General features: G+C 60.5%; 1 protein-coding gene across 54 annotated transcripts, besides 3 other annotated features; it reads right to left on the reverse strand.

The window, feature by feature from the left end:
* EEF1D (eukaryotic translation elongation factor 1 delta) lies at nt 108-17,795 on the reverse strand. Of its 54 annotated transcripts, none has more exons than XM_047421441.1 (11): nt 17,728-17,795; nt 13,027-13,040; nt 10,988-11,118; nt 9,371-10,461; nt 7,109-7,232; nt 6,599-6,670; nt 1,609-1,708; nt 1,434-1,534; nt 886-1,107; nt 392-586; nt 108-210 (listed from the first exon to the last, which is right to left on the reverse strand). In XM_047421441.1, exons 4-11 carry the CDS (start codon nt 10,459-10,461, stop codon nt 172-174), a joined length of 1,944 nt encoding a protein of 647 aa, XP_047277397.1. In that variant the 5' UTR covers nt 10,988-11,118; nt 13,027-13,040; nt 17,728-17,795; the 3' UTR covers nt 108-171. The 54 variants fall into 54 exon arrangements, with proteins under 54 accessions (XP_047277397.1, XP_047277377.1, XP_047277388.1 ...); XM_047421421.1 differs by lacking the exon at nt 10,988-11,118 and adding an exon at nt 14,796-14,898 and having other exon boundaries at nt 12,469-14,451; nt 17,259-17,795; XM_047421432.1 differs by lacking the exons at nt 10,988-11,118; nt 13,027-13,040 and adding exons at nt 13,095-13,273; nt 14,255-14,451 and having other exon boundaries at nt 14,796-17,795.
* Nucleotides 9,467-9,968: an enhancer, noted in NCBI's record as "H3K27ac-H3K4me1 hESC enhancer chr8:144671257-144671758 (GRCh37/hg19 assembly coordinates)". NCBI's record gives its function as "activates a minimal SCP1, AML or CMV promoter by ChIP-STARR-seq in naive and primed H9 embryonic stem cells {active_cell/tissue: H9 hESC(naive and primed)}" and the evidence as "EXISTENCE:reporter gene assay evidence [ECO:0000049][PMID:30033119]".
* Nucleotides 9,969-10,468: an enhancer, noted in NCBI's record as "H3K27ac-H3K4me1 hESC enhancer chr8:144671759-144672258 (GRCh37/hg19 assembly coordinates)". NCBI's record gives its function as "activates a minimal SCP1, AML or CMV promoter by ChIP-STARR-seq in naive H9 embryonic stem cells {active_cell/tissue: H9 hESC(naive)}" and the evidence as "EXISTENCE:reporter gene assay evidence [ECO:0000049][PMID:30033119]".
* Nucleotides 16,443-17,042: an enhancer, noted in NCBI's record as "H3K27ac-H3K4me1 hESC enhancer chr8:144678233-144678832 (GRCh37/hg19 assembly coordinates)". NCBI's record gives its function as "activates a minimal SCP1, AML or CMV promoter by ChIP-STARR-seq in naive H9 embryonic stem cells {active_cell/tissue: H9 hESC(naive)}" and the evidence as "EXISTENCE:reporter gene assay evidence [ECO:0000049][PMID:30033119]".
* Nucleotides 17,796-17,804: the final 9 nt, after the last annotated feature.

Below are 17,804 nucleotides of genomic sequence, written 5' to 3' on the forward strand. Positions count from 1 at the left end.
GCAGCAGCCAGGATGACTGTGTGGGAACAGCAGGGCAGAGATGGGGCTGAGACAGGGAGGGAGACAGGCCAGGTACGAGCAGGAAATGACCAGGACGGAGCCAGAGGGCCGGTCTCAGTCTTTAATCGTGGCAGGGCCTCACGCACGCGCGCACGTACACACACTCAGGCTTCAGATCTTGTTGAAAGCTGCGATATCGACACTCTGCACCTGAGGAGAGGCGGAGGGTGACGGTCAGGGCTGTTCCCCTACAGCCCACTCGGAGCCAGGAGCCTCCTCTGAGGTGGGGTTCACTCTGGGACTCGCTCCCCACTGCCGTGGGGTGGAGTGCAGGGTATGGGCCAGGGTCCCCAGTCTCCTCTCCCCTCCTCTCCCCGGCCGGCTCACTCACGTGCTCCTCAAACTTGGTGATCTCCTCCTCCAGCAAGTCTGTCCCCACCTTGTCGTCCTCCACCACACACTGAATCTGTAGCTTCCGGATACCGTAGCCCACGGGCACCAGCTTGGAAGCCCCCCAGACCAGCCCGTCCAGCTGGATAGAGCGCACACAGGCCTCCAGCTGGGCCATGTCCGTCTCATCATCCCACTGTGGGGAAAGGGGAGGAAAAGCTGGGGTCAGCCACCCTCAGAACACCCAGGAAGTACCTGCATGCACCCTACCCTCAACCACTGTGTGTCCACAATTCTGTTTCCTTAAAGGGCCCACAGAAAACAATCCAAATTCACACCTTCCTGCCTCCAAGTTTGTGTTTATCCCAAGACTTCTAAACTCGGCTTTAAAGTCTCCCCAGAACCCAGAGGGCAGGGGGAGGGTCACAGGCTGAGCCGGCTAGGCGGGCACCAGGGCAGTGCCTGGCCCCCTGAAGCCCCACCCCGCCCACTCACAGGCTTGACATCCAGCAGGATGGAGGACTTGGCCACCAGTGCAGGCTTCTTGGCCTTCTTCTCCGCGTACTGCCGTAGCCGCTCCTCCCGCAGCTGTGCCGCCTCCTTGTCCTCCTCCTCATTGTCACTGCCAAACAGGTCAATGTCATCATCCTCGTCATCCTCTGCTGGTGTGGCTGGCTTCTTGGCTGGGGGCTCCACTTGGCGCATGGGAGATACGTGCTGCCACAGGGGAAGGGACAGGAGGCACGGCTGAGACGCCCCAACCAGGGCCCAGAGCTGCCTGGCCACCTCCTGGCCCTCCTCCCTCCTTTGACTGGAGGAAGGGCAGCCCCTGTGTACCGCAGCTGTGTACATGCAGGGCCCCAGGAAAGACAAAAACTGCCTCCACCTGCCCAGGGCTAACTGTAAACCTTCCTGGGGACCTGAGGACTCCAGTATCCTGGCTGCCAGCTCATCACTGCTGCTGGGGCCAGCCCACAGGGCGACGTGGAAGCCAGCAGGGCCACGTGGTCCCCTGCAGTGTCAGGCGTGGGGAGAGCATTCACCTGGGTCTGTGGGGCCGTGGCCCGGTGGCCAGGCGAGCTCTTCTCCAGCACGTTCAGCCGGGCCTCCAGCTTGGAGATGGCCTGCTGCAGCTCCTGTACCACTGGGGGGGCAAGGGGAGCACGGTTAGATGGCAGGGGCCAGGGACAGCCCCAACCCACTGGCCCGGGGCCTCACCGCCACGCAGACTCTGGTTCTCCACTTCCAGACTGGCAATCCGGACGACGAGCTCACCGTGGTCTCCGCTGGTGCCGCTGGAGGCCCCGGGGCCTGAGCTCTGCAAGGCAGGAGGAGGGGAGGGCTCAGTGCCCAGCCTGCTCCTAGGGTCCCCCTGCCATGCTCAGGACTGCAGGAACTCACGGAAGGAAAACTACAGCTCGGGAGAGCAGGAGGTGCCCCCCGCTGATGCCCAGCTCAAACTTATGACCTCAGAGGTGGCGGCCACCACAGACCACAGTGAAATTCTCAGCCAGGCAAAGTCCAGGACAGGAGGCTCTTGGTGCCCCAGAGACGGAGGCTGTGGGGAGCTGGGCCATGGCTGCTGCTGCCCGGCGGAATCCTGCTGAGCAGCCAGGCTCAGAGGCTGGGTGGGAGGTGCTGAAGGACTCACAGTCCTAGGGACAACCTGGGACACGCCTCAGGGGACCAGGCAGCACTGGAAATGGGAGGCGGGAGCAGCTGAGGGCCCAGTGGGGGAAGAAGGAAGGAGCCCACCTGTGTGGACAGCAGCCACCCAAAGCTTTGTCTCCCTGGGCCTCACGCCTGCCATCTCACTCAGCAAGCCAGTCTCTAGGTGATCCAGGGCCCCAAGCCCACCTCATACTCTGCCATAGCTGAGACTGATACCTCGGGGCCCAGACAGGATCCCAGCCTCCTGGCCCTTAACACTAGCCAGTCCTTAAGCATCTACCTGCACGCATGGGCCATTTAGCCTGCCCACCCTCCAACAGGATGGCTCGAAGGACAGGGTGCACCTGGCTGCATGGAGCTCTCAGCAAACCCCATCTCGGCAGCTCCCCGGGGCTCCCTCTCTGTGGGGAGGGGCCTGGAGTAGCCGGGCAGGCAAAGCCGCTCCTTGCAGCAGGTGCGGACATACTCAGGCCTTTGCCCAACGTGCAAACCCATCCCTGGGGCCCTCCTGCCACCGTCCTTGGGACCATGCTGTGGGGAATGCTTGTTTATGTATCTGGAGGGTGTGGGAGCTAAGCCCCGCAGATCATGGGCAAGGCCGAGCCAAACTGGCCCAGGAGGCCCACCTGGCAGCAAGGCCAGGAGGAAATGGACAGGGAAAGGCCAGGCTGGCAGAGGCGCGTGAATGGTGGTGGGGGTACGGGAGGCACCGGCAGAAACTGACAAACTCGGGGGCAGAAGCCGGAGCACGGGAGGGCCAGGCTTTGGGGCGCCAGGGGGCATGGAGAATCACAGCAGACCTCCCGCGGGAGTGGGGCTGGGTCCTGAGGAGGCCGGAGTCTGTGAGTGGCACCTGAGGCCTCATGCACCCCACACAGCAGGCCCAAGGACAGGGAAAAGGTCCCCTCTGGAAGAGGCACTAAGTCAGCACTGGCCCCGGGCTGCATGATGAGCAGCGGGGGCCGTCTCACCACTGCCTGGCTCTGCGGGCCACTAGGCCAGAGCCCACAGCACTCAGGACACAGGGAGAGTCCCCTCCTTTGATGCTGACTCAGGGGGGACTAGGGATGCCAGGCATCAGAATCCCTGAGCACAGCTTCAACGGGCAGGCTCAGGTCACCCAGTGCAGTCACAGCGGGCCTCAGAGAGCCCCTCAGGGACTTGGGGGATGCCAAAGGCAAACACTTCAGAGCCAGACCCATGCCTGTAACCCTGTGCCAGCACCACGCTACCAGAAACCCTGCAGTTCTGAAACCCCAGTGTCTGCTGAGCACTCCCACCCCAAATCCAAGATGAGACTGGGCCCCTGCCATGGGCTGAATAATGTCCTTCCAAATCCACATGCTGGAGTCTTATCCCCCGGTATCTTAGGATGTGACCTTATTTGGAGACAGGGCCTTTGCAGAGGTAACTGTCACTGAGGGGCAGGGGGCTAATCCAATCTGACTGGTGTCCAATAAGAAGACATCAGGACACACACACACTCAGATGGATGACCGTGTGAAGACATGGAGAAGACGGTCTACATGCTGAGAGAGGCCTCAGGAGAAACCAGCCTTGCTGCCACCTCGATCATGGACTTCCAGCCTCCAGAGCTGTGAGAAAATACATGTGGTTTAAGTCACCCAGTCTATGGACCTTTGTTATAGCAGCAAACCAGTCCCTAAGCCCTAACAGTGCGACCACCTGCCTGTCCCAGAGACACCTTAGGGTTGACTCCACACAGCCAGGGCTGAAGAGTTCCTGCAGCCCCAGGGCCAAGCCCCCGACCGCTGCCTTCTGGGCACTGGAGTGCAATATGCCTGACTTGGGCGCAAAAATCTGTGCTCCCTTAATCTCATGTCTGCCTAGCCTGGACTTGGTCAGGTGCCTGGGCAAGCCAGGGGTGCAAGCCAGTGGGCAGAACGCAAGGCACAAAGGAGCACCCCACCTGGCAGACAGGAGTGGCAGCCCTTCCTGGGCCCACCCACCCAGGGATGCCCAGCTTATGGCCCGGGAGCCAGCACACCCCTAGGTGGCTGTGGCTGTGGCAGACAGAACAATGGCCCCCACAAAGCCACATACGAGTCCGCAGAGCCTGTAAATATGGTCTCCCATGGCAAAGGGATTCTGTAGATGTGATAAGATTAAGTTAAGCGGCAGAGAGGATGCTGGATCACCCAGGTGGGCCCACTGTCATCACAAGGGCCCACACTAGGCAGCAGGAGCGAGGGAGGGGAGAGGGAGGCTGAGTGACAAGACAGCTGCCTGGGAGCCTTGGGCCAAGGACCGTGAGCAGCTTCCAGCAGCCAGAAGAGACAAGGAAGCGGATTCTCCCCGCAGAGACACCAGAAGGACCACAGCCTTGATTTTGCCCCATAAGATGATCTCAGACTTCTGGCCCCCGGAACTGTAAGGTGAGGAACTTGTGCTGTTTTAAGCCACGGAAGTGTGGCAACGTTACAGCAACATCAAGTGGAAACCAACACAGATCCTGGCCCAGGAAGTGGGGTGCTGCTGGAATGCCTAACAATGTGGAGATGGCTTTGGAGTTGGGCAGTGGTGAGGCGGGAAGAATTTTGAGGAGCGTGACAGAAAACCCCTAGACTGGGCCGGGCACAGTGGCTCACGCCTGTAATCCCAGCACTTTGAGAGGCCGAGGTGGGCAGATCATAAGGTCAGGAGTTCAAGACCAGCCTGGCCAACATGGCGAAACCCTGCCGCTACTAAAAAAAAAAAAAAAAAGAAAAAAAAATGTCAGCTGGGCTTGGTGGCAGACACCTGCAGTCTCAGCTACTCGGGAGGCTGACACAGGAGAATCGCTTGAACCCCAGAGGCTGAGGTTGCAGTGAGCCAGGATCATGCCACTGTACTCCAGCCTGGGCGACAGAGCAAGACTCTGTCCACAACTCACCCACCCCCTCCAAAAGAAAAACCCTAGCCTGTCTTGAGCACCCTGTTGGCAGAATTCAGATGCTAAGGCCCTCGGTGAGGACTCAGAGGAGGTGAGGAGCAGGGCAGAGAAAACACGTCATCTTCTAGAACAACCTAAACTGCCACGAACATGCTGTTGGTAGGAATAGGGATGTTAAAAAATGACAGCGGGGGGGACCATGGGCCACACAGGAGCGCTCCCTTCAAACCTCACGTGACCCGCCGGGCTGGACTGTGAAACTGCCTGGGACTAGTGACGCCCTGTTTCCTTCTTCTTTTTCCCATTTTGAAAGGGAATGCCTGTCCCACAATTGTATTTTGGGAGCAGATAACTTGCTTTCCAGTTTCACTGGTCCACAGATGGAGAGGAATTTTGCCTCAGGATGGACCACGCAATCCCCCATGCCTGATTGGATGGGATTCTGGACTTTGGAGGGACACTGTGGGGGACCCAGGCTTCTGCAGATGTTGGTGAGGAGCAATGCACCTTACAAATGAGACAATGAGAATCTCCGGCGCCCACGTCCCAACCCCCAGAGCCTGCAAATCCACTACCTTACATGGCAAAAAGAAGAATTGGCAAACACGATTAAATTCAGGATTTTGAGGTGGGAACATCCTGGACCTGGGATCCTGGGGGCCCAAAGCAAGTACAAGAACCACGTAAGTGACAGAGCGAGGCAGGAGGTTCGAGAGAGGCGCGAGATGGAAGTGGAGGCGGGGCGGGGATGAGGCTGCCTGCTGAGCACCTTGAAACAAGCAACGTGGGCATCCACCAGAATCTGGGAGAGGCAAAGGAACAGACTCCTCCTGAGCCTTTGGAAGGATGGCGACCTTGCTGACACTGGGGACAGCCTCGTGAGACACATTTCAGATTTCTGGCCTGGAAACCCGGCATGATACAGATGTACTGTTTCCAGCGTGAGGCTGTGGAAAGCCATAGCAGCAGCCACAGAAACACTGACCCCGTTCTTGGGGCCAGGACACCACCCCGTCCCGGGGAGAACGCAGTCCCAACTCCTCGGGAACACCAGGGCTGCCACCTCCCGGAGGACACCCCTTCCCCAGCCAGCCTGTCAGGCCACAGCTACTGCCTCCAACTCCTGATCTTGGCCCGGGGCCTGGAGGCCAAGCAGGGATACAGGGCTCCTTCTGGGTCTCCAACTCAAGACGGTGCCAACTCTAGGCTCTGAACTCCTTGCGCCTTGCAGAACCACCACTTCTCTCTCCCCAGTGAGGCAAGATCTAAGAGGGAATGTGGGAAGGCCCAGCAGACACACAGTCCTGCCACAGGGAGCAAGCAGGGAGGCACAGGCTCTCATGCCAGGTGCCCACAGGACACCCTGCAAATGGCACCACTCAGCTCCCAGCCGGCCCCACAGGAGCGGCCAGTGTGACCGCCAGCCGGCAGACGAGGTAAGCACGGAAGGGACGCGAGAATAAGAACACTGTCCGTGGCAGTCCGGGCATGGAGGTCACAGAGCCACACGTCCCAAGGAGCACAGCGCCGTGCACCCTGCCCTGACTCTGCTGTGAAGCCAAAACAACCAGCAGCATCAGGAAAAATCAGACATGCTGCTTGGCCGAGCAGGAGCCCGCAGGTCCGTGGGCCGCGGGTACTCACTCCAGCCAGGGATTTCTGGATGTTCTCTCTGGCTCTCGCAATGTCACGGAGGATCACGCTGGCGCCGTTCTCCTGCAGACAGTGCAGAAAGAACCAGTCTTTTTTTTATTATTAAAAAAGAATTTAATTAAAAAACAAACCAAAAAACCCCATGAACCCTCACATAGAGACAGCAAGAAAGTACTGCACAGAACGAGAGCTTGGCGGGCCAGAAAAGCGGGAGATGCCTGAGGCTGTGACGACAGGCAAAGGCGCCCATGTCTGCGGGGGAAGGAGTGCCAGGCCTGGCCCCACACCAAGTGCACAGGCGCCGGCAGGAGGGCCCTGAGCAGACCCGGCCCGGGGGCCCGGCCAAGGCCGCCTGCCCCGAGACCCCACTCCCAGCACCCACAGCAGAGCCACTGGGCCAGGGTGCCTCTGCCTTCCTGGCCTGGCTGAATCCGCTTTGTGTGCCCCGGCCACTCCTGTCGGGCAGCAGAGCCGCCCAGCCGCCCCACGTGCAGCTCTCACCTGGCGGGAGGCACCTGCCACAGGCCCGTTCATCTGCTCGTAGAATCTCCTTTCTGCGTCGTCATATTTGAACTTGTCGAACCAGATCTTCTCATGTGCTAGGAAGTTTGTAGCCATTTTTCTGCTGGGAGGGGAAAGAGGCAAAGTCAGCATGGCTGGGAAGTGGGCCTCGGCATCAGGACAGCCCAGAAGCACCAAGGTGCAGTGGGGCTGACACCCGCTTCAGACACCAGCGGTTCTCCACAAAGCGACACCAAGCCCGTAAGCCCTCACCCCACATGGCATCCCCAGGCCTGTCTTCCAGACGAGGAGTTCTCAAAGTGTGGTCCGAGAACCTCTGAGGGTCCCCAGGCCCTTCCCTTTCACTCACACGAAGCTGGGTTTATGTCAAACAGCTGAAGTGCGGAGGCAGGTATGAGGGCCCAGCTGCCTCCCACTAAGCCAGACACCCGAGAGATTTGCAAAAACCTCAAGCAAGGCCATTCTGCTCACTGAATTTTTTGGTTATGGGAAAAGTATTTCTCATAAAAAAAAAAGATGTTAGTAATATGTAACAAGTTTCTTCAACAAATAAGTACACTTAGCATTTCTGAGTTTTTTTGTTATTTTTTTTTTGTGTGAGATGGAGTCTCACTCTTGTCGCCCAGGCTGGAATCAGCGGCGCGATCTCGGCTCACCGCAACGTCCGCCTCCTGGGTTCAAGCGATTTTCCTGCCTCAGCCTCCCGAGTAACTGGGACTACCAGTGCACACCACTGTGCCTGGCTAATTTTTTGTATTTTTAGTAGACAAGGTTTCACCATGTTGGCCAGGCTGGTCTTGAACTCCTGATCTCAGGTGATCCACCCGCCTCGGCCTCCCAAAGTGCTGGGATTACAGGCGTGAGCCACCGTGCCCGGCCCATTTCTCAGTTTTAATTGCTAATGTGGTAAAAATCAATAGATACAATGAAAGCTCTTTGGGGTCCTGAGAGCAAGAAGGTTGAGAATTGCTGCCCTAGACAGGGACCATGGCCCGCAGGCAAATCCAGCCTGTGGTTTTACTGGCACAAAGCCCCACCTCGTGCCACTCCCACTGGCCAGCAGCAGAGGAGCTGGGCAGATGACTCTGTGGCCGGGGCCCAGACCCTCTGGTTCTTTATGGAGTTTGCCGCCCCCCACCCTGGACTGGCCAAGACCCTCTTACTGTCCAACCAAGCACAACAGAACTGTCCCCCTCCTGCCCTGCCGCCAGTCTGTGTGTGGACTCCGGACCATCGCTGGACCTTGCCAAGTGTCCTCTCGGTAACAAAGGGCTGGAGTCTGTGAGCGTCCTCTGCGTCCCTGACCCAGGACACTCTCTCGGCAAGGAGGGACCAGGCCACCGTGAACACCAGGGCAGGTGGAAGGGCAGGAGGTAGCATTCCCCTATGGGGTCCTGCCCTCAGGTTATCTTGTTAACCAGCAAATCCAGACCCCTAGGGGTCCAAGGTTGGAACCACTTCCTTGGGGGCCTCAGCAGCTGCTTGGGACCTTCAGAGTCCTTCCCTGACTCAGCCCGCCCCACCACCAGGACACCCTCGCCAACAGGCCAGCCTCGCCACTTCCATGCCCTCTGTATTCCCCTCCAAGTCCAATCGTCCACCCACCTGCCTGGCCCCAGAGACCGCTGCTGGGGTTGCACCTGCACCCTGGAGCAAGCCCACAGCACCCAGAGGGAGGTCACACAGACGGGGCACCCTGGGATGGAGGCCACCTGACCAGCCACATGCCCATGCATCTGAGACGCCACCACCTTCCCTCAGAGGTGGTTTCAGGTGACAAGGAAAGCTGGGGGTGCACAGGATGGACAGGCAGGGACACACTGGCTCCCACATCTCATCGCAGGGGAGCGCTAGGGCCAGAAACCAGCTTCAATGCTTCCCGCCCCTATAAGTAGCCTTATCTTCTCAGCCCTGGCATGTGACAGCCACAGGGGACTTGGGGAGCTTCCCAGCCAAAGAGGGACCCTGGGCAAGGCAGAGATTCTGCCCTGTGCTGAGCCCTTCCCTGCCCTCATCCAGGCAGCCTGGAACTTTGTAACCTCAAGCAGTGTCCCTGGAACCCACAAGCGCAGCACCACCTTTACTCAGCCTGCTCCTGCATTCAACTCTGCTGGGCCCACGGGTCTCGGGGAGCCCCCACCCCAGGTGGGCAGGGGAGGAAGCTGGAGGAGCCCCAGCCTGGGATGGCTGTCCCTGTGCCCACAGCCCAGGCTGGGTGCCCACCCAGCACGTTTCTCCTACTTGGGTCTCAGGCTGGACACGGACAGGCCAGACCGAGGACCGGGTCGGTGAGACAGGGAGGCAGCTTCGAGGCACCAGGCCACCCGCAGGGCCTCGGCAGCGTGGTGGCGGCACTCGGCGCTGTCGTAGGCAGGCTTGCTGAGCCAGGGGGCCTCTGCATCCTTCTGCAGGAAGTAACAGTAGGGCAAGGCAGAGGGGGCCTCCCCATCGGCCCGTCGCAGCCCGGCCCGCTTGTTCCCTAAGATGTTGCGGCCCCGCCGGTCTCTGCGGCCCCGCCGGGCACCCTCGGCCAGGCCGGCTCGCTCTTGCAGGCGCACCTTCCCTGGGGGATGGCCGTCAAACAGGGCCTCGTAGAAGCCCCTCTCGGCTGCATCATACCGGGGCTTCTCCAGCCACACCTCCCGAACCAGTGCCTGCAGGCTGCCCAGCGGGGGCTGGCCATTGACCGGTGGGCTGGGCTGGTGGGCCAGGTCGGGGACGGCCACCTGCTGGCCTGTGTTGGGAGTCCCCTGCCTGCGGCTGCCGTCGGGGGCCAGCAACAGGGCCTGAGACCACTCCACGAAGGCCCGCTCAGCCTGGTCGAAGGAGGACTTGTTGACCCAGATCCCCCAGGTCACGTGGTGGCAGGCCACCTGGTTTCCATGGGTGCAGAGACCCCAAGGGGCCAAGGCAGGAGGCCAGGCTGCCTGGGCAGCCACATCTGCCAGCTTCTGGCGGTAGGAGCTCTCTGCCTGGTCGAAAAGTGACTTGTCCAGCCACACGCGTTCGGCCGAGAGGCCCAGGAGGGCCAGGTCCGCGGGGCCGAGCCCGCTCTTGGGGGAGCGCTTCCTCTTTTTCTGCAGGGGCTTCCTGCTGTCCTGGCTCTTCCTGGGATCACGCCTGCTGCCGCCGTCAGGGGCTTCCGCCTCATCAGCGTCCTCAGGGTCGTCCTGGCCGGGCCCATTCATGGCTGGCCCCTCGGCTGGCAGCTGCTGGGCGGAGGCGGCCGCCTGTGTGGCCTCGTGTTCGTAGAAGCGCCGCTCGGCCTCCTCATACTTGTGCTTGTCTTCCCACACGGTCTCCAGGGTGCAGGAGGCCTTCCCGCTCCTCATCTTCCGGACACAGCGATAAAAAGCAAGCAGAGGGCAGAGTTGCAACACAGCGGGTGGCCGCAGCCCCGTGCCCACCCTCCCCGTGCCCGCCCTCCCCGTGGCTGCCCTCCCTGGGCAGGGGCTGAGGATGCTCCCCAGTGGGGCTTCCATGAGATGACATTCGAGGACTTCGAAGTCAAGCCCATGTGGGGACGTTTTGTTGTGAAGAGAAAACAGGCCGGGCGCAGTGGCTCATGCCTGTAATCTCAGTACTCTGGGAGGCCAAGTGCCTCCCAATACATGAACAATATATAATTTTGTTAGTGAATGTATGGCCCATGAAGTATCTGAGACATACTTACACTAAAAATTTTTCGTCATTTATCTGAAATAAGCTTTAACTGGCTAACTAGCTTTCCCTGCATTTTTCCACAGGCCAGGCCTGGCCACCCCACCATGGTGGCTGGTGTTCCCATTCTACAGAACGGTCTCTGTGGCTGTCCTGGCCACACCACTGCCACACCCAGAGCACCCTCAAAGTTCTTACAAAAGAAGGAGCCTCGGCCAGGCACGGTGGCTCACACCTGTAATCCCAACACTTTGGGAGGCCGAGGCGGGCGGATCACAGGGTCTGGAGACTGAGACCATCCTGGCTAACACGTTGAAACCCTGTCTCTACTAAAAATAAAAATAAAAATTAGCCGGGCGTGGTGGCAGGCGCCTGTAGTCCCAGCTCCTAGGGAGGCTGAGGCAGGAGAATGGCGTGAAGCCGGGAGGCGGAGCTTGCAGTGAACCGAGATGGCGCCACTGCACTCCAGCCTGGACAACAGAGCAGGGGAAAAGAAAAAAAAAGAGGGAGCTTCTTTGTGGGCCTGACTGTCCTCCCCAGGAGGGGGCCAGGTGGCCGGGCAGAGGGTGGAGTGCCCACTCATGAAGGAGACGCCAGGGAGGATGCTGGTGACCACTGTGTAGAAAGGAGGGGCCAAGCGCCTGGAGCACTGAGACGGCTCTAGGCTCTCTATCAGCTGCCCCCGCCTCCCAGCTGGAGTCCATACCTTTGGGTCCATCCAAGCTAAAGGGGAATCATGGGGCTCTCACAGTCCCAGGACATCAGGGCCCCCTCTAAGGTTTTGCTTCTGTGTAATGTTAAGAGGGACCATCTTGGTGGGAGGCAGGTTGTGAGGCTCCACTCCCCACTTGCTACTGTGGCCTGGGAGCCTCAGCCTCCTCCCTGGATGAGGTGTTCCCTCAAGCTCTGGGCGACCTCAGTCACCTGCTGCCCCAGTGCTCCAGCAGCCATGTGGGATCCTGCCGGGGGCACGCTCTGCTCCCAGGTGTCCAGTGTGGTGTTACAGAAAGGACAGGCCCAGAAGGCCAGGGGCAAATCTGCTCTTGGGATGCAGGTCAGCACCCCAGCCCGCGCTCAGCCTGCGATAGCTTCCTCCCCAGCCATGCCCGACTCCAGGCTCTGCTCCCCAAAAGCAGAAACGCCTGGGCCTAACCAACGCCTAGGAGCACCCTCAAGAGGGGGCTGTGCAGCTGCCCCTCACAGACACCGCTGCTAGTCTGCTGCCTCCGCAGGTGTGTCTAGTGGAGCCTGAGGGCAGACAGACCCAGTGGCCCCAGGGCACCGTGACTGGGACCACCTGCCTGGTCTGCACCCAGAGGGAGGCAGCCTTCGGTCAAGAGCAGACCCTTCACACCAGTGGCTATGGGTCTTCGCCCCTCTTCTAACATCCTTACCCAACAAAACCAAGGCTGGCTCCAACGCCCCCCGTGGGGTGCTGAGCTGTCTACGCTCCACCCAGGCAGGGAGGACTTTTGGGAAGGCACCCCTGGCACTGCACTCTGCAGCCTCTAAGTGGAACATGGAGTTCTTTGCGGGCATGTGGCCCGAATCCCGCAGTCCCAGCAACAAGTTCTAATGGCACCAACGAGGAACCGGGGCCCATGGGAGGCCACAGGGCCCATGAAGACGCTCCCTAGGCTCCCCTGCTCATTCCTTCCCCAGGCTGGGGCAGCACTTACCAAGGCCAGGCTGATGGGCAGAGGCAGGGGTTGTGGGTTGGGGGTGGGGTGGGAGCAAGAGCCCAGGAGACAGGGCATTGTGACATCGTGCGGTGGTACCCCCACCAGTCTCTCTGCTCCCATGGAGCCGTGCAGGTCCCATCAGCAGTGCCACTGAGCTGGCCCCCAGTGTTGATGCCCTACCAGACTTTATTGGCCAAAGTGGCCTCAGACTATGTTCTTGGGGGCTCCGGGCAGAAGCCGCCGCTCAGGGAGGGGAAGCCACTTCAAGGCTCCTACCGAGACCTGGCACTGCCACCTGTTCCCTGCAGGGAGCCGCATGTCAGCTGCTGACCCGCCAGCCCAGGACAGGACCCTGCTCACGGCCACACAGGGTGCCCACCTGCTGCTGCCCCATCCAGAAAACCCAATTCCTCCACTTTCCAGATGGGAAACTGAGGCCCTCTGGGCAGACTGGGCCATGCGCAGGTGGTGCTGGGTTCCCTCAGGTGCAGCGAGGGCTGGGGGTTCCCCGGTCAAATGAAGGGGAATGGGGCATGAGGACAGGCGAGTACTTACTTTGCTTTGGCCTCCTAGGACAGCATGAAGGAAAAGCAGCAAGGTTAGAGGCAGCCAGAAAGACTAACCGGGTCAGACACAGCAGCAGGTCAGCCCGGGGCGGCCGGGGGCCTTTCCAGAAGCTGCTTGGCGAGGTGGTGTGGAGGTGACACTGGTGGAGATGGAAGCTGAGCGCCAGACAGACCCGCCGCCACCACAATCCCAGGTGGCAGCTGAGTCCACACAGGTGACGTCACTCCGTCATCCCCTGAAAGGGGAGCTCTTGGGATTACTGTCAGTTGGAGCCTAGGCAGGCCCTGGGGGACAAGCAGGGACCACTATCTGAGCCAACCTTTCCCAAATCCACCCACCCTGTCGTCACCTGAGCAAGGTAGCCTGAGACAAGATAAGCCAGCGCCCACAAGCATCCCCTGGAGCTGCCAAGGAGCTCCCCCAAGCCCCTCACCTGCACTGCCCCTGTGTCCGGTCTGCTGAAGGAGGCCCGGAAGATGACAAGGACCCTCAAGGGGGAGGCAGCCCAGGGCTCACATTAATACAGGGCCTCTCTCTCAGCAGGAGCCACCGTCAAGACAGGGCTGGCACCCAAGGGCCCCAGCACAAGCTACAAAGGCCTCCCAGACTGACTCTCCCACAATGTGCACACAAGGACAGGACCTCCACCCAGTTCACTCCTCGGCTGGAGACACTAGGTGTCCTGCCCCTAATCTCACCAGAGCCACCTCATAAACCCTGCAAGCTCTGCGAAGGGCAGCTGGGCACAGCTGAAAGCCCAGCCACCAGCCCATGTCCTGGGTGGGACTGGGCAGGAGGGGCCACCTCCTACTGCTGATCAACCCGAGAGCCCTGGCTGGGATCCGTCTTCCTTCACCAACGGGAGCTCCGGCCCCAGGGCCCTGCCCACCTCTGTGCACCCCACACTGCAGCAGGGAGCACCCTGCAGGGAGGAACTGGGCACCCTGCAGGGGTCTGGTGGAGACGAGGATGCTACGGAGGCAGCTGCCCCATGGGACCAGTAAGAGGGATCTTGGGTGGGCTTCCCTGCAGAGAGGAAGCCCTCAGGAGACACCACAGTAAGCCATGCTGGAGACCTGGAGGCCAGGCCCGTCACCTGGGGAGCTGGCCACTAACAGCGGGCAGAGAGCCTCCCAGGACAGCCAGCACAGCCCCCCACACGTCCGAGCCCACCTCCTCATTTCCCCGCTTCCCGCATTCCCAAGCATGGGAGGACCTGCCGGACGCAGCGCACCATCTCTCCTAACAGAGACCAAGTCTGAGCTTCAAAGCTTGCGCAGACGACAGGCACGTGCAAGCCTCTCCTCTCCAGCAGGAGAGCCCGGAGCAGGACACAGCGACTCTTTCAACTGCGTCCCGACAAACGGTCAGCCCCTTCGCTCCTGCAGTTTATCCAAGCTCAGGAGGAGCTTTCTAAAGAGAACACAGGGAGACAGCTGGCTGCCAGAGAAGCAGTCTTGGAAACGCCAGAGCCAGGCCCCAGGGGGAAGTGGCCAAAGTGTCCCTACTCTGCTCCTGGAAGCAGGCCAGGCTCACCACCAAGGCTCTTCCCTGAGGGGTAGACAGTGTCTGCCAAGCACCTGAGCCTCTGGCAGCTGCCCAGAGTTTGAGAGTGCCCTGGGGTCCTGGCTCTGGAAGGCTCCACCCAGCTAACAGGGCCTGTGACACAGGTGGCAGCCAGCAAGACCCACTGCAGCGGCATGGCCCTCACAGCCTCCCCTGTCCCTGTCCTGGGAGCAGCCCCGGCAGACTCCTACCCAGAACACTCCAGGTCAGGAGGGCAGGGCCCTGAGGAAGGTGAGGACATCCTGGAGAGCTGTGGCCACCAAGGTGCTGCACGGCCTGGAGGTCTCCACACATCTGGGCAAACGGAAGCTTTCTGGGAGGAGCTGGCTCCCAGGCCCTGCCCTCCACGCCACCCCATCACAGTCGCACACACAGACAGGCTCCCAGATTGTCCACCCTCCACAGGGAGAAGTCAGGGAGGTGGGCAGGGGACGGGGTCAGCCACCGGCTCAGCCTGTGCACGCCCACCCCTCCCAGCAGCACCCCTCTCCGGCCCACCTGGCTGGCCTGAGTCTGTGGACTGGCACTGCCTGATAGAACTTTCAGTACCTTCAGTGCCCAAAGGGCGCGACGACTAGCCCTTAAAAGAGGCTGGAGCCCCTGAGGAAGCGGGTCTTTAGGCAAAACCACCGCACGGCAGAGCAGCCACAGGACAGATCAATGTCTTCCTGCGTGGAGTGAGGCCTTCGGTCTTTTTTTGAGACGGAGTCTCACTCTGTCACCCAGGCTGGAGTGCAGTGGCGCGATCTTGGCTCACTGCAACCTCCAACTCCCCGGTTCAAGCGATTCTCCTGCCTCAGCCTCCCAAGTAGCTGGGACTACAGGCATGCGCAACCACGGCCAGCTAATTTTTGGGTTTTTTTTGAGACGGAGCCTCACTCTGTCACCAGGCTGGAGTGCAGTGGTACGATCTCAGCTCACTGCAACTTCCACCTCCCGGGTCCAAGCAATTCTCCTACCTCAGCCTCCCAAGTAGCTGGGATTACAGGCGTGTGCCACCACACCTGGCTATTTTTTCATATTTTTAGTAGAGATGGGGTTTCACCATGTTTGCCAGGCTGGTCTCGAACTCCTGACCTCAGGTGATCTGCCTGCCTTGGCCTCCCACAGTGCTGGGATTACAGACATGAGCCATGCGCCCAGCCTAATTTTCGTATTTTTAGTAGAGACGGGGTTTCACCATGTTGGCCAGGATGGTCTCGATATCCTGACCTCATGATCTGCCTGCCTCGGCCTCCCAAAGTGCTGGGATCACCAGCATGAGCCACCACGCCCAGCCGCCTTTGGTCTTTTTAAGAGAAAAAACTCCACAGTTCCACATTCCCACTCAGCCACTTTCCTGTCTGACCCCTGGATATTCCAGCCCCACTGGGAAACGCCAGCCTGTCCTGCATATCTCAGAGCACTCACTGTAGCTACCCAACCCACCCTGCCCCAGGCCAAGCCCCGCCCCAACCACGTCTTTTCTTAAATGCCACTGCAGGCCAGCTCCATGGCCAGCCCTGCTTGAGGGGCTCTGGCCGACCTGCCTGCCCGGCGCAGCCCCTGTGCCTCCTGGGTGACTCCAGCACGGCACAGGCTTTCTGGAACCCCAGACAATACCCACGCCACACCTCACACGGCACCCTTGGCTGTCAGCGAGGTGGGAGAGCTGGAGACCTGTGGCAGGCTCCTACACCAGCACTTAGCATAACTCACTGCCACCAGCTTCCAACACGCTGATGTCACCTTAACACACTGGCACAGGATGATGACCCACAAATCCTCAATGCCACATTTCCTGTCCTCAGCCCCCAGAAGGCTGACGCCAGTGCACGGCACAGCCCAGGTACTCTTTGTCCATCATCAAGCACGTGTGCCCACCTGTGCTAAACCTTGCAGCCTCACCCAGCAACCCGGGAGCAAAGCCCAGAGGGCCTAGTCCTCCAGAGGAGGCGGGAGGCAGCGGGGGCTCTGTCGGCTGGGCGCTCACTCTGCCAGCACTGACTGCGTGTGAACCCTGCAGCAGCCCAGGGGAGATGCTGCTGTCTCACAGGATTGGCACTGCGCCCAGAAAGCCTCTACAGAGGCAGGTCTAGGAGCCTGGCTGGGCCTGAGGCATGTGGTGAGAAGGCGAAGGTGAGCGTCTACTTCCTCAGAGGACGCTCGGGGGCTCCTTCCACACCTGCCCAGCCCCTCAGCTGCATCCCCCACCCCCAGAACGGGGCTGGGCACACACGGGCTCCGGAAGTAACCAACTGCCTGCGAGCCAGCTGCTTAAGGCTCATGGGGTCCAGATGACGGGGTGGGCGGAGCTGTAGAAGGAGGCTGCTCAGGTGAGATGGCCTGGCCTGCCTCCCTGGGAGGTGAGCCGCAGGCAGTGTCAACTTAAGAAGCACCCCGCCCTGTCGGGCAGGGACAACCCCAAGTTTAGCTACACAGTTCTTCTGCTGCCAGGCGGTCCTTCATTCTGGAAACCAATCCTGACGTCTCATCAGGTCCCCAACCCACTCCGCCCCCTTTGCCTTCTTCCTTCCACTTAAAGCCTCTGAAAGTACTACTTCTTAGCAACAGCATCCCCGCCCCCTTCAGAGACTGCCCGACCACCCTATCCAAATCAAGAGACAGAAATTTTGACCCAGTCACAGTACAGGCTTATTCCTTTCCGTGCTCACTAGCGTCTAAGTTCCAAAAGTGTTGCGTCCGTGCCTATCCCCTCCGTGCTCAGCTGATGCGTGCAGTAACTGGTGCTTGACAAAGACGTGGTGTACGAAGGTCTGCAGGCCAGAGAAACAGCTGGGGCAGATGTCTGGTCTCCCACGGAGACGGCAGCAAACACAGGCCTTAGGCCCCAGCAGCCTGGCCGAGGGGCTTCCACGACCGGGATGCGCCGTGAGACAGTGCTCCCGGCGCCCCCGTCCCGCGGACGCCCTCCAAGCCGGCCACGTGGCCTCCGTCGCCCCGCCTCTCTGCGCTCGCCCCAAGTGCCGCACTTGGCCCACGGCCCCTAAGCCCGCGCTGGCGCACTTGTGCCTCAGTCCCTAACGGCGCGAGCTTCTGGCGCAGCCCGGGCCGCCCGCCCTCCCGGCCCCTCGGGCGTCTCTGTCGCGCCCGACTCCTTCCGGCGGGGGCCGCGGTACTCACACGCCAGCCAAGGACGCGGCGACCAAGGAGGAGGAATCGGCGGACGCGGGAAGACTGATGAAAGGGAGGGCCGCCCG

The sequence above is a fragment of the Homo sapiens genome, chromosome 8, assembly GCF_000001405.40.
Source record: "Homo sapiens chromosome 8, GRCh38.p14 Primary Assembly".
NCBI lineage: Eukaryota > Metazoa > Chordata > Mammalia > Primates > Hominidae > Homo > Homo sapiens.